A 13,712-nucleotide genomic window follows, 5' to 3' on the forward strand; every position below is an offset into this window, starting at 1 on the left:
AATTTATCTAACAAAATAATTATTCAGTGACTCATGTGGACCAGCCAGTATAAAATTTGATATCATTCCTTTTTCTGGATTTCAGTTGAGTATGCGACTTAGACTTATTTTGAAACCAAATCACGGGAACAGAGTCACCTTCATTAGACTCATGATATTTGTGCTCTTGTTGGCTGGTTTAGCATTCTCTGCTTGCTTACTGTATTTGAAAAACCAGTCATGATTCATCATAGAGTCTCAATTGTCTTGAGAGCCCATTCGTTTCAATGCAATCAATATTTATATGCCACTTTCTGTGTGCAGAGGGTTGTGCTAGACACCCAAAGGCAGGGAGTGGTTAAAGAAGAAAGAATAAAACACTGTTCTGTTTCAAGAAACAGTAAATATGGCTGAGAGCCAAAGCATCAAGCAGATGACTAATAGAAAACAATGAAGTGAATGCGATGAGCAAGTGATATGAAAAATATGGAGAGAGAGAGGTTCATTCTGGCTGGGGAAACCAATTAGTAGATGAGGTAGCATTTCTACCTAACCTTGAAGAATGAGCAGCACCTGACCTGGGAAGATGGAAAGAGAGAGACACCTGTGTAGACAAACAAGGTAAGCATCTATTAATATATTGTCATATTCAGGGAAATAGTGAATTTAGCCTAAGGTATAGCTTTGGAAGCACAGAATCACTAAATTTTATAGCTGGAAGGGACTCTAGTATCCGATCCACTCATTTTAAAAGCATGTGTTCAAGGAAAGTATGGAGATATGTTTTGAAAAGCATGCTGGATTAATTCATGGAGAGCCTGGAATGTCATTTGAAAAGTCTGGACTTCATATCACAGGTGATGGATATTTTCCAGAGGTTTTTGAGTAGTAGAATTGAATGCATTTATAGCTCTTATTTCTGCTTTGGATACTTCTATAACAGTTGTTCTCAAAGCTGGACCAGTATCTGGAGAGTTTGTTAAAATACTGATTGCTGGCCCCCAATTCTAGAGTTTCTGATTCAGTAGGTCTAGATGGGGCCCAATAATCTGCATTTCTAACAGGTCCTCAGGTGAAGGTGATGCTGCTGGCCTAAAGACCACATTTCAAGAACCACTGCTGTATTGCACTCTACTGGTTCTCAACCATGGATGTTCATTAAGGTCATCTGAGGAGCTTCTAAAAAGTACTCAGGCCTGTGCCCTGCCTCAGACCAGTTGACCGGGAGGCCCTGAGGATGGGAAATAGGTGGAGGTCGTTTTTCAAAGCTCCCAGGTGATAACCCAGGTCAGCACTTCTCATATTCTCTCGTGCATAGGAATTTTGTCAAGATGCAGGTTCCTTTTTAGTAGGTCTGGGTTGAGGCCTGAGGTTATGCATTTCTAATGAGTTTCCAGCAGATGTCAATGCTCCTGGCCAGTAGACCAGCAAGGCTCAAGGAAATTCAATATTCTTCTTCCTTTTTCTTCCCACTTTTCTCTCCAAGTTTCTATTTAGTGCTTGATTCAGTCTCTCTGCCCCCAGTGCAATGTCTCAATGCAATGCTGCCCCAACACACCATCCCTGAACCCCAATTTCAATTATGCCTCAGAAAAAAATCAGACCAGGCCAGGTGTGATGGCTCATGCCTATAGTCCCAGCACTTTGGGAGGCTGAGGCGGGCAGATCACTAGAGGTCAGGAGTTTGAGACCAGCTGGCCAACATAGTGAAACCTCATCTCTGCTAAAAATACAAAAATTAGCTGGGCGTGGTGGTGTGTGCCTCTAATCCCAGCTACTTGGGAGGCTGAGGCACGAGAATCACGTGAACCCAGGAGGCAGAGGTTGCAACGAGCCAAGATCACAACACTGTACTACTCCAGCCTGGGAAACAGAGCGAGACTCCAGCAAAAAAAAAAAAAAAAAAAAGAAAGAAAGAAATCAGACTGACTTGGGATTTGGCCAGCCATTGAGTTGATCTGGAGATGAGACTCTGGGCAGACACTGATGCAATGCAGGTGAGTGTGCCCCCAATAGCCCAGGCCTAGATGACTCCTTCTGTCCCCACCAACTCCTGCATGTGGTGCTTGGCAGGCCACCCACACGCCTTCATCGAACCTTTTCCTTACAAGCTCCTGAGCTCTGCCTGCCCACCTTCTCTCAGCAAGTTGCTTTTTTGCACAAATTACTCTTTTTTATAAGCATAATTCCCAAAGAGAGAATAAGAAGCTTTCTGGCGTATCTATTAATCATGAGGGAGATTGGAAGCTGGGAATAAGGAAAAGGGAGAAAGAGACCTATAAACTAAATAGAAAATGCCCATCTGAAACAAGCCTTCTCCGACAGGCCCCCGGTAGGACCTGCACTCCTGTCCCTTACCTTAGATGCCTCTTCCCTTTTCTTGCGTGTGTGTTGGGGCGGAGGACGGACGGGGTTAGGCAGGGGAGCAAAGAGACTTTTCCCCTTTTATTTTCTTCCGTGAATTATGACAATGGTTTGAAGTGCTCTTGCCTAGAAAACTGTGCTTGGAGGAGTGAAAATGAAAACATTTCAAGGTTGTAAGGTGAATCTTCTTCTCTTACAACCTTGGGTAGATCAACACCAGGACACCCAAATTATTTCGATTAAAGGAAGATATCTGAGTACAAGCTGCACTGTGCTGTTAATGAACAAAGAAAGAAAACAGTAATTGTTTTGCTAAGCTGTGTTTATATGAACAAAAGCCTCAGAAAGAGTTTAGCCCTTGAAATTCTTCATGGGACCTTGCGACATCACCACTTAGGAGGGGGAACTGATAATATGTTTGCTGATTATATGTGGGTGAGGACATTTTTGCAAGGGTTCCAGGGGCGACTTCCAAATGGACATGAATATAGACTCATGCAGAGGCTGCAGGAATTCAGGCCAATTGTGATACTCTGTGATACTCACAAATTTGGGTCACTCTCTCAATTAGTTTAGCTCCTCATCTGTGTGAGTACAGAAACAAAAGCTACTTGGAGGCCTTGTGGGTTGGCAGAGCATCTTAAAATACCCTCCTAAAGAGGCAGTGCTGCAAATTCAAAACAGACTTTCAAAATAAACTCAGCAGGGCAGCACTCCGGGGGTGCTTCCAGAGCCAGCCCCCACCCCACCCCCAGTTCTCAGTTCTAGGTGTTTGAAACTGCAGTACCCTTGGCTGTTACAATCCTCCCCTCCCCCATGAGCCTGCTTCTCCCTGGAGGAATCAATCATTCTGCAATACAGCTGAGATTTCTACCAGTCCAGATGCAAGCTTTCACAAACCCGACACGCCCCCTGTCTTCTGTTAGTCATTATCAATCTTCCCGTTGTGGTGGAGGGAATTAGGTGTACTTAGTGAGCTCTCAAATAAGTAAGTGGTCATGTGAAAAGCCAGGCATATGATACATACAGTCGGATCAGGACTTTAATCTTGGAAGTCGTCTGGGACATGGGGTGTTTTGCAGTAACAAGGACAATTCTCTCAGAACTAAATCCAAATTCTGTCTGTCCTGTTTGTCTCAGGCATTTCTGCCACCAGAGCAAACTTTTTATGCTTTGGAGCATAAGTACAGATCATCTGTTGTGCTTTAAAGTGGGTGTTTTTTTTTTTTTTTAAGGAGCTAATTCGGTTGTGCAATACCATCAAGAGGCGCCACTTGTAAATTATATTTAGGTGTGTGTGTGTTCCTCCCCTCGCGGGGCTGATGAATCATATCCATCTTCGTGTCATTATGTAACTCTACACTTGCAAGAAGGGCTGCGAGCCCCTGCCATACACCAGAGGCTCCTGCCCATCTGCGCTCCACCCAGCAGGAGGGTCTCTGCTCTTCCAACACCAGCCTTGGCCTCTCTGCGGAAAAGCAAGTGTAGTGACTAACTCATCCTCTGTTCCCAGTTTTAACTGAAGGTCCTGTGTTCAAATGGGATCAGCTGGCCACACTACCTGGTCTGGCTCTTTGCCCATTTCTGGCCTCAGGCGCTGAGGGTGTGGACATTAGCACGGGTCCTATGGGCTTGGGGTTCCATCCAGGCCTTCCTGTTCTAACAAGAAATCTGGAAGACTGCACACCCTGGAGGCAGGAGGCAGGCCTGGGGTACAACAAGATCTGCTGTGGTCGTGGAGAAGAGGACAGCACTCCCTTTCCTCGTGGAAGTATGGACAGGTGTGAAGGAGTTCCCTGTGCCGAAGCAGACAGGGGCCCTACAAGTGAGAGGTTGCTATTTCTATTACATGGCAGTAAGAATGAAACCAAGAGTCATTGTGTATGTGGGGGAAGAACACAAGGTTGGGAGCCAAACTGGGTTTATATATTAGTCATGCCACTCATTTATTGTTTCTGGGATGAATTATTTAGTCACTGTCAGCCTCAGTTTCCTTGTCATTAAAATAGAAATCATAAGTACTATACTCAAACCTCAAGACAGTATTTTCTGTATTAAAAGGCCATCAAATTCTGATTTGCTTCTCCTAGACTTCAGAATAAGGGAGTAACCTTGGCTTTTGGACCAGGCTTGCTTAGTCTCTGGTCCCTCTTCTTCCCTCCTCCTGCCCCATCCTGCCGTCTCTTGCAAATCTAATGTGCTTTGGCACTCAGGCAGTTGTTACTCTGTGTGCTCATTAAAGCAAAACAGCTGCTATAACAATCAACCCCCAAACTTCAGTGGCTTATTGTAATAGAAGTTCTCTCAGAAGTCTGGTGCAAGTGGGGAATGGGGTGCTCAGCTCCACTTGGACATTCAGGGACCCAGGAACTCCATCGTCCTCAGCACATGGCCTCTAAGGGTGAAGAAGGTACATCCACTTGTCTTGGAAGGGACACATATCACTAGAGTTCATTGACAAAAAAGGTAAACTCTGTAAAATGTTGGAAGAGATTTATTCTGGGCCAAATGTGAGTGACTGTGGCCTTTTACACAGGCTCAGGAGGTCCTGAGAATATGTGCCCAAGGTAATTGGGTTACAGCTCAGTTTTATACATTTTTAAGGAGACTGAAGTTATAGGCACAGACATAAATTATTAATGGAAGGTATACATTGGTTTGGTCCAGAAAGGCAGGATCTCTGGGTGAAGGAGGGGGGTGCCTCACAGGTCATAAGTGGATTCAAAGATTTTCTAATTGGCAATTGGTTGAAAAAGTTAAGCTTTTCCTAAAGAATTGAAGTCGGGAGAAAGAAATGTCTGAGGTAAGATAAGGGCGGTTGTGGAAGCCAGAGTTCTTGTTGTATAGATGAAGCTCCCAGGTAGCAGACTTCAGAGAGGATAGATGGTAAATGTCTCTTACAGGATCTTAAAAGGTGTGAGACTCTTAGTTAAATCTCTCTTGGATCCTGGAAAGGGAAGGGGATGCTCTGCAGAATGCAAATTTCCCCCACAATTTGCATGGCCATTTCAAAATAGGTCAAATAAATATATTTTGCAGTAAAGTACTTTGATTTCCTTCAGGGTTTGTTATCTGTCTTGTGATACCATACCAGAGTCAGGTTGGAATTTTGTATCTTACTGCCACAAAGAGTCTGTGTTGTCAGTCTTAGGATCTGTTTTACTGTTAACCCTGGTTAGTTGTGCCTGAATTCCAGAGGGAGGGGGTACAATGAGGCATGCCTGACCCCCACCCCCAACTCTTCTGTCATGGCCTGATCTAGATTTTCAGGTTTCTGTAGGATCCTATTGGCCAAGGGAGTAGGGGTAGGGATGTCCATTCAGCTGGTTGTGGGCCTTAGAATTCTACTTTCGGTTTACAAGTTCATACTCAGTTGCAAAAACTAGTCACATGCCCCCACCTGGAGGCAAGAGGGTCTAGTTGTGCAACCACTTCCCAGCCACCATTCTAACTAGGAATTGTCCTTTCATGTCCTAAGTTTTTCAGACTTCTAGATTGTGTGGGGCACTGTGCTGGGCATTCAGAATAAAATACATGATTAAGACACAGTCCTTGAAACTGTCCCCACAGGGTTGACAAGAATTGCATGCTTGGTTCTGGACAGAAAAATAGTTACAATTAATCAGGCTGCAATCTGGTCCACTTCCTTGTTGCTAAAAGTCACATGGCACTGGATACTATTTGCATACCGTTGTTCCTCTAGATAGGATTTCTGACATTAGAGTCCTAAGATTGCTTAAGAATTGAGTTGCATTCGTATTATTCCTATAGACAGGATCTCTGAGATTAGAATCATATAAGGCTTTTGTTTAAGGGTCAGTCATTTAAGATGTTTTCCAGACCCTGAATTCCAGCAACCAGTTTGAGGACCCTCACAAAGAAATGGGATCAGCATGAGAACACAGCTTCTTCCCCTCCCTGTCCCATGACTTCGCCCTGGACTCTTCGACTAATCAACCGTCTCCACACTTCAGCCCACTCCAACCCCTAAAAACGCTAGCCCCAAATTCCTCAGAGAGATGGATTTGAGGTTCCCTCCCTTCTCCTTGGTCAATGACCCTAAAATTAAGCCTTTTTCTCTGCTGCAACTTGGTGTCTTTGCATATTGACTTGCTGTGTGCACCAGGCAATGAACCCATTATGGTTACACCCATACCTCCAAGGAACTTGCCTTACATATTGGTAAACTATACTCCTCTTCCCTGGCTTGCAGCAATAAGATTCAGCCTTTTGGCATGTCTTTTGATATATAGGATAATGAATACAGAGTACAGGGGAAAAGAAAATCAGCTAGTAACCAAATTCAAAGCTGGGAGGGATCTTGGAGGTCATCTGTACAAAAAAAAAAAAATTGTCAATGGATAAGAAACATGAGACCAAGAGAATTTAAATGACTTGCCCAAATTCTTCTAGTTGATTAGTCCAAGAATCAGGTTAAAATCCTGCTCCTTTCATCTTCCAGTCTTTAACACTTCCTAATATGTCAGAATCTTTCTGACGACTGTGTAACATGTAAGAGTTTATGAGTTCAGTCCTGTTTTAGTATGTGTTTAGGCAAAAGGGGCTAATGGTGAGTCCCAATGTGGTGGCTTTTGTAGATAACATAGTCAACATTCACCATCATACCTGCAGAACATGCGGACATCATTGCCTCATTGGGAAATTATGTTGCCTCTTTGGAGTATGATCTTTGCCTCTTCTTTTAATTCTCCCTGCATTCAATAACACCTCAGCTCATGTGCCAAAAACCTGTCCAGTTCACCTCAGGTAATACTACCTGTCAGGTTTCATCTGTCCCATTTGAAGCCTAATGAGCCTCAAAAGTTTGAATAATGTTTTGTTTTCAACACACAGTGCTGTCTACCATGTACCCAAAGCGAATGGCCATATGTATAAATTGGTTTAGCTTATTTCTAAAAGCATAAATCCCAGAGGGCATAAGTGTATGGGTTCAAATGGCCAAGTCAGTATGATCTATCAGCTCTGGTTAGATTGGCATAATCAGCTTTGACATAGAGATATAAGGGGCACTTGGGGACTTTTAAGAGTGAGTGGTAATCCTGACCTTTGAGTCCCTGGTCAAGTGGCATATCCAGTATGTAAGGGAGTCATTTTTCTTAATGGAGATTTCCTTTCATGGAGATGCTCCTGACCAGAAAACTTTTACTTCCAGGAGCTCTCAGACTGGAGTATACTTCTCAGAGACACACTGACCTATGAGCCTGAAAGTCAGGCTATTCCTGAGGATTCCAAATCTCCTTTCTGGAAAAGTAGGAGTAGTGGATATATTTAAGTGAAGTGAGAAAAAAGAGTTTACCAATGTAAATATAAGCTTCTTGAGCGTAAGGCCATGTCTTCCTAATGTCCTAGTCTAGAGCTGTTGAGTGAATTCCACTTCTATTCCTAATGAGTCTGGCAATTGAGACCCTGGAGAAGCTTGGTAAATGGTTCTGAGACTAAGAAGAAACTGTATATGCCCTGCAATTCTGAAGCTACTCTTCTCAGACAGTAGGTTTACATCGTATCAGAGCATATGACTGTGGCATTTCTATAATAAACCAGACCAGTTTAAGGGCCTTGGAATAATCTCTCTCTCTCTCTCTCCTGCCCCACCCCAAAGTGCCCATATCCAACTGGGAAAGGCTAGAAACTCTATAACCTATTTCCCAATATGAAGATGTATGTGTTTCTGGACATGTGACTGAGTTTAAATTCCCTGGAGAGTCTCTGATTCTACTGCAGTCTAAAATTCATGTACTCAGCTGTTCAGCTGGAAGAAACAGGGCTGGATGGGAAGACTGATTTCTTAATATATAAATAAAATGAAGTTTTCCTACTATCCTAGTCTTGGAAATTTTACCTACAATTAAGTATTTACCTACATTTCTCCAGAAAGCTACCTAGACACTGATTTATCTTCTACAGACATGTTTTAGATTGTGCTGAAATGGCCAAGTTTTTCCTAAGTTGGCAAAAAAAAAAAAAAAATCCATTCCATGTGGCTGGAATCAAGCCCACTGAGATTTTCACCAAGGGCAAAAATACCTTGTATGTGTATCAAAAGCAGTTGGAAAAAACTGGCTCTATTTTTCTGCACCAACATCATCAGACTAATGGCATTCCAGTCAATTAGTTGGCATTGTTCTCTTTGGTGTGCATCAGAAGGGCCCAACTTAAGCTGGACTCAAAATCCTGTCCCTTCTTCTGGATTCTAAATCTGAATGGATAGTTTATGTTCTTGTCCTCTCATATGTTGATTCTTGAAGACTGCATACTACTGTTCATTCAGTCATTCAGCAAAGATTTATTTTGAGCTTACAATTCATGGGTCACTGTGTTGGGCATTAGGAATTCAAAGATGAATAAGACATGGTCTTTATATTTAAAGAGCTTACCTTAATGTCTAGAGAAGGAAACAAATATCTTCCCAGATTGACTTCATTTTGGGAGAGAGATCAAGTTCACTTAGGATGGTATGCAGTACTGCCCTACTGTACACCTCTAGCGGGGTTATGTATCTGATATTCTACATGACTTACAGCCCCTAGGATACAATGTGAATAATATTCTGGACATGTGCAATGAAGCTGCTCTGGGAGGGGTCCGCAAGTGCAATGAAGCTGCTCTGGGAGGGGTCCCCATGTGCAATGAAGCTGCTCTGGGAGGGGTCCCCATCCTAGGAGATGAGACACATGAGCTTTGAAAAGATGAGTACATAGACAAAACTTAGAAGGACATTGCAGAGAATAAGCAAAGGAACACAAACATGGAACGATCAATAAGCAAAGGTAGAATTCAGTGGATGAGAAGAAGTGTGGTAGGAGATGAGGTTGCAGAAGGAGGCAGAAGCCAGATAGCAAGTGTCTTGCATGCCATATCAAGGAGTTTGAAATGCATCCGGTTAGTGCTGGAGAGAGTCTTTACAGGGCTGTAACTGTGACTTGCATTTTTGAATGTTCACTTTGGAATCAGTGTGGAAAATGAACTTGTTTACGAAAGGAGTAAAGGGGTGGGCTGAAGAACAGGGAGGTTAGTGAGGAGGCATTGAAATAGCCCAGTAGAGAAACGATGGAAATTTGAGTTAAGATAATGAGTTGAAGATTGACTCAAGACCTTTGGGAGGTGAAATTCACAGGTCTGTGTGACGAGTAAGACACAAGAAATAAGCAAAGGGGGTTGCTGAGATTGAAAACCCTATGGGTGGATGATAAATCATTTTACCAGGATAAAGGACCAAGAACGAAGGTGCCTTCGGTAACAGAAACCATGAGTTTGGTTTTTGAATATGATAAGTTGGAAATTGGGACCACCAGGAGGGCTGCAGAGATAAGTCTGGAGTTGGGGAGAGAGGTCTAGGCCACAAAAAACAATTTAGAACAATCGGTGTTTAGGGCATGGTGGAAGATACTCTCCTAAATTCCTAATTTCTTTCCTTCTCTGCACTCTAAAATGACCTCTGATGAACTTTCCTGATGATTTAACTTTTTCAAAGCCACCACTGGCAGTCTATTCAGTCTTAGCTGTCAGATTGAATTACCACTTACATGGCCCTCTACTCGGTTTTTGCAACTCCAAGCCCCTTTCTGAGCACTCGTGCTCGCTCTCTCTCTCTCTCTCTCTCTCTCTCTCTCTCTCTCTCTCTCTCTCTCTCTCTCTCTCCCTCCCTCCCTCTCTCTCTCTCCCTCTCTCCCTCTCTCTCTCTCCCTCTCTCCCTCTCCCTCTCTGCCTCTCCCTCTCTCCCTCTCTCCCTCTCTCTCCCTCTCTCTCCCTCTCTCTCCCTCTCTCTCCCTCTCTCTCCCTCTCTCTCCCTGATTGCTTCTAGTGAGATAGTTGAATAGACTTTCTCCTGGGCTCTGGCGCATGTAATCCAGCGAAAGATCGAAAGTCCGATTTCCCACTCTCCCACTTTAGAGCTTGTGGTCTTGAGCAAATTCTTAAACTTCTCTCAACCTCAGTTTACTTATCTTTACAAGGCACTCCAGTAAAAATCTCAAAGATGCACTTTTTTGAAGTTGAAATGAGATAAAGTATAATAACATTCAGCATGCCACACCAATAGATGCTCCACATTGTTCATTCGATCATCAGTTCTATAAATCAGAATCTATTAGAGTTGAAAGAAAACTTAAAGACCATCTCACCTCATTCTATCAAATTCAGGAGAGAACTGGGCCCCAGAGAAAGAATATCACTTGACCAAGTTACATAGTCAGTTAGTGACAACTTTAGCCTTCATATTCTCATGTTTAACATTATACTGTGCTCCGACCTTCCAGGTTTTTTTATTTGTTTTTTTTAAGGGGATCTGTATCCCAATATATCACACAACTATATTGGGCTTCCTGTGGAAGATGGGAAGATGAGGGCTGTATTAATTATCTCTTATGGCACAAGAAATTCCCACTAAATTGTGGCTTAATGCAACACTTATCTATGGTCTCACAATTTATTGAATCAGAAGTTTCAGCATGGCTTAACTGGACCCTCTGCTCAGCTCTCACAGGGCTATAATCAAAGCGTTGGCTGGGCCATGTTCTCATCCAGCAGCTTGACCAAGGGAGAATGCACTTGCAAACTCATTGTCAGGTTGCTGACAGAATCCATCGCCTTATGGCTGTAGGACTGGGTGGCTGTTTTCTTGCTGGTTTTCAGCTGGGGGGGCCACTCACCCTGGGTTCCATCGGCCTTCTGACTGGTTCTCCATGATGTGACATCTGACTTCATCAAGGCCAGCAAGAGAGCATCTCTTTCTCTACTTGCAAGTCATATATATATATAGTGATGGGACATCATTATGGGAGTGACATCCCATCTCCTTTGCATATTCCATGGCTTGGAAGCAAGTCCAGGTCCACCAGCCCTTAAGGAGGAGAATCACATAGGGCAGGACACTGTAGGCCAGACCCTGGGTGGGGGGCACCTCAGAATTCTGCCCTCTGCAGATGCTGTGGTAGATTTCATTGCGAAAGTGTCACAGGGCACAGTCCAGTTGGCCCTTGGTCTCCTATAATCACAACCAAACACACGGCACTGCTTTCAGGAAAGCTGCATCTGCAAGGGCTCTGGGACAAGTGTGAGAGCAGAGCAAGGTATCCTCAGGAGATGCTGTTGGACCCAGAGTGACACCACAGGTCAGAGTGGTGCTGGTGCCACTGAAAGTGCACATGTGTGAATGTGTATGTGAATGTATATGTATGCATGTGAATGTGTTTAAGTGTGTATATGTGTGCGTGTATATGTGTCCATGTATATGAGTGTGCATGTGTCTGTGTGTGCATGTGCACGCATGTGTGTATATCAAGTGTCAGAGGGGTCCTTCCTGGAAGCTCATCAAGTGACTGCCTGCCATTTGACATTTTCTGGAGTGGCTCTTTCCAGAATTGTTGATACACTCTGTGACATGAGTCACGCTGCCTCTTTATTAAAATTCCATCTTCTCCAGCTGAGGCAAAGCAAATATTTACCCACATCTAACCCTGGTCCCAGCCTTGGCAAATGTCTGTGCTTCTCCATGGAGCTGTCCATGCCCTCAGGTGTGGCTAAGTGAAGGAGACATTCCGCTTTTCCTCAAGTTCCCTGGAGACTGAAAAATCAGAGGCTTTCTCTGCCTCCAGGCCCCTGCCTCCAGTGAATCCTGCCCACCGCCTGAAAGTCTTCTTGAAACTCTGCTTTCACCACGGTACTTGCTTGATCAAGGTGTTCGGTGGCTTCTTCTGCCTAAATCCATATGCATTATCTTATCCTTGAAGGTCTACCAAGCTTGTAACCCTTCTGCTCCCCACCTCTCCCCCTTACATACTGTAATTCCCCAATGTTACTCAGCACCCGCTCCAGTGAGGCCAGGCATGTTAAAACTGAATGACACCAGTTGCCGCATATCTGCTAGTGTGGTTCCACTGTACCCCTTCCACCCCACCACAGTCCGCTTCTCACAGTACCTCCCATCGAAAGCATAATGCTTTCTAAGCCCACCTGAAACCTCACTGCTTCCCTGATTATACACAGTGGCATTCATCTGCCCCAGCTTTGACCTCTCTTAGCATTTGCTAACTGAACTTGAGTGACTGTTTTAGGCAACTTATTGTGCTGCGTGTTGCATTATTTAATTATTTCATGAGAGTGTGTCTTGTTGCTCTAGAGAGGTTATGAGTCTCTTAAAGATGGCCAGATGCGGTGGCTCACGCCTGTAATCCCAGGACCTTGGGAGGCCAAGACGGGTGAATCACTTGAGGTCAGGAGTTCGAGACCACACTGGCCAACATGGTGAAATCCTGTCTCTACTAAAAATACAAAAGCAAAAACAAACATACTTGGCCAGGTGTGGTGGCATGCACCTATAGTTTCAGCTACTCAGGAGGCTGAAGCAGGAGAATTGCTTGAACCCAGGAGACAGAGGCCGCAGTGAGCTGAGATGACAGCACTCCATTCCAGCCTGGGCAACAGAGTGAGACTCTGTCTCAAAAAAAAAAAAAAAGTTTTTTAAAGATAACATTTACATTTTTCCACTTTTTCTTTCTCTCTCCCTAGCTTTTGCCTTTTCTTTTCATGGTGTTTACAATTTGGACTTTGGGCCTAGATGGACTTGTATTTAAATATCAGCTCCACCACTTTCGACCTGTGTGAAACCTCTGTGGTCTTCATTTTTCTCGTGCTTAAGTGAGGATAGCTACCTCATATTGTGGTTGAGAGAAGCCAGTGAAATAACATAGGGAAAGAAATCCCTGGCACATAGTAAGCATTCAATTAATGAAAGAAATCATAGAATCCTTCATTTCATGTTAATGACCATTTCTGTTCATTCCCGCAAGAAACAGCTGAGCACCTTCCGTGAGCCCAGAACTGTGCTTAGGTGATGGAGAGAGATCAATAAATAAAATGATCATGTTCCTATGGACTGTACAGGCTAGTGGCTATTAAGGCTTCCAGGAGTCTGCAGAATGTGTGATCAGAAGCCCTAAAAGCGACCAAAATAGTTAGTGATTTTTATTAAAAAAATTGAAGGAAACCACTCACAATGAATCATTATTTTAAAAAAGCCTTTTCATTGGTAGTGTGTGCCAGCGTACCTGTAAGCATTCATGTTGAGAGTGGCATAGGACTCCCAGCCACTGGTTTCCCCCACTATCCCCTGCTCCATGCAATGCTGTTAAAAGTGGAAATGGGGGCTGCCTCTGCAAAACAGGTGACCAGATGGTGCTGTTTTGACGAGTTGGTAATGAGATGAAGACGGATGCCTTCCCAATATGCTGGAGGTGGAGAGAGGGGCTGATCACCTTCAGTGTCCTCTTTCTCTCTGCCAAGCCCTTCACCCTCCCCACACGCATTCTTCATGCTTTTCAGAGATGGGGGAAATGTCTCATGATTCAAGT

General features: G+C 43.9%; 1 annotated feature.

Annotated features, from left to right (window-relative positions):
- Positions 9,999-10,523: an enhancer, noted in NCBI's record as "H3K27ac-H3K4me1 hESC enhancer chr13:97784629-97785153 (GRCh37/hg19 assembly coordinates)". NCBI's record gives its function as "activates a minimal SCP1, AML or CMV promoter by ChIP-STARR-seq in primed H9 embryonic stem cells {active_cell/tissue: H9 hESC(primed)}" and the evidence as "EXISTENCE:reporter gene assay evidence [ECO:0000049][PMID:30033119]".

Source organism: Homo sapiens, chromosome 13 (assembly GCF_000001405.40).
Source record: "Homo sapiens chromosome 13, GRCh38.p14 Primary Assembly".
NCBI lineage: Eukaryota > Metazoa > Chordata > Mammalia > Primates > Hominidae > Homo > Homo sapiens.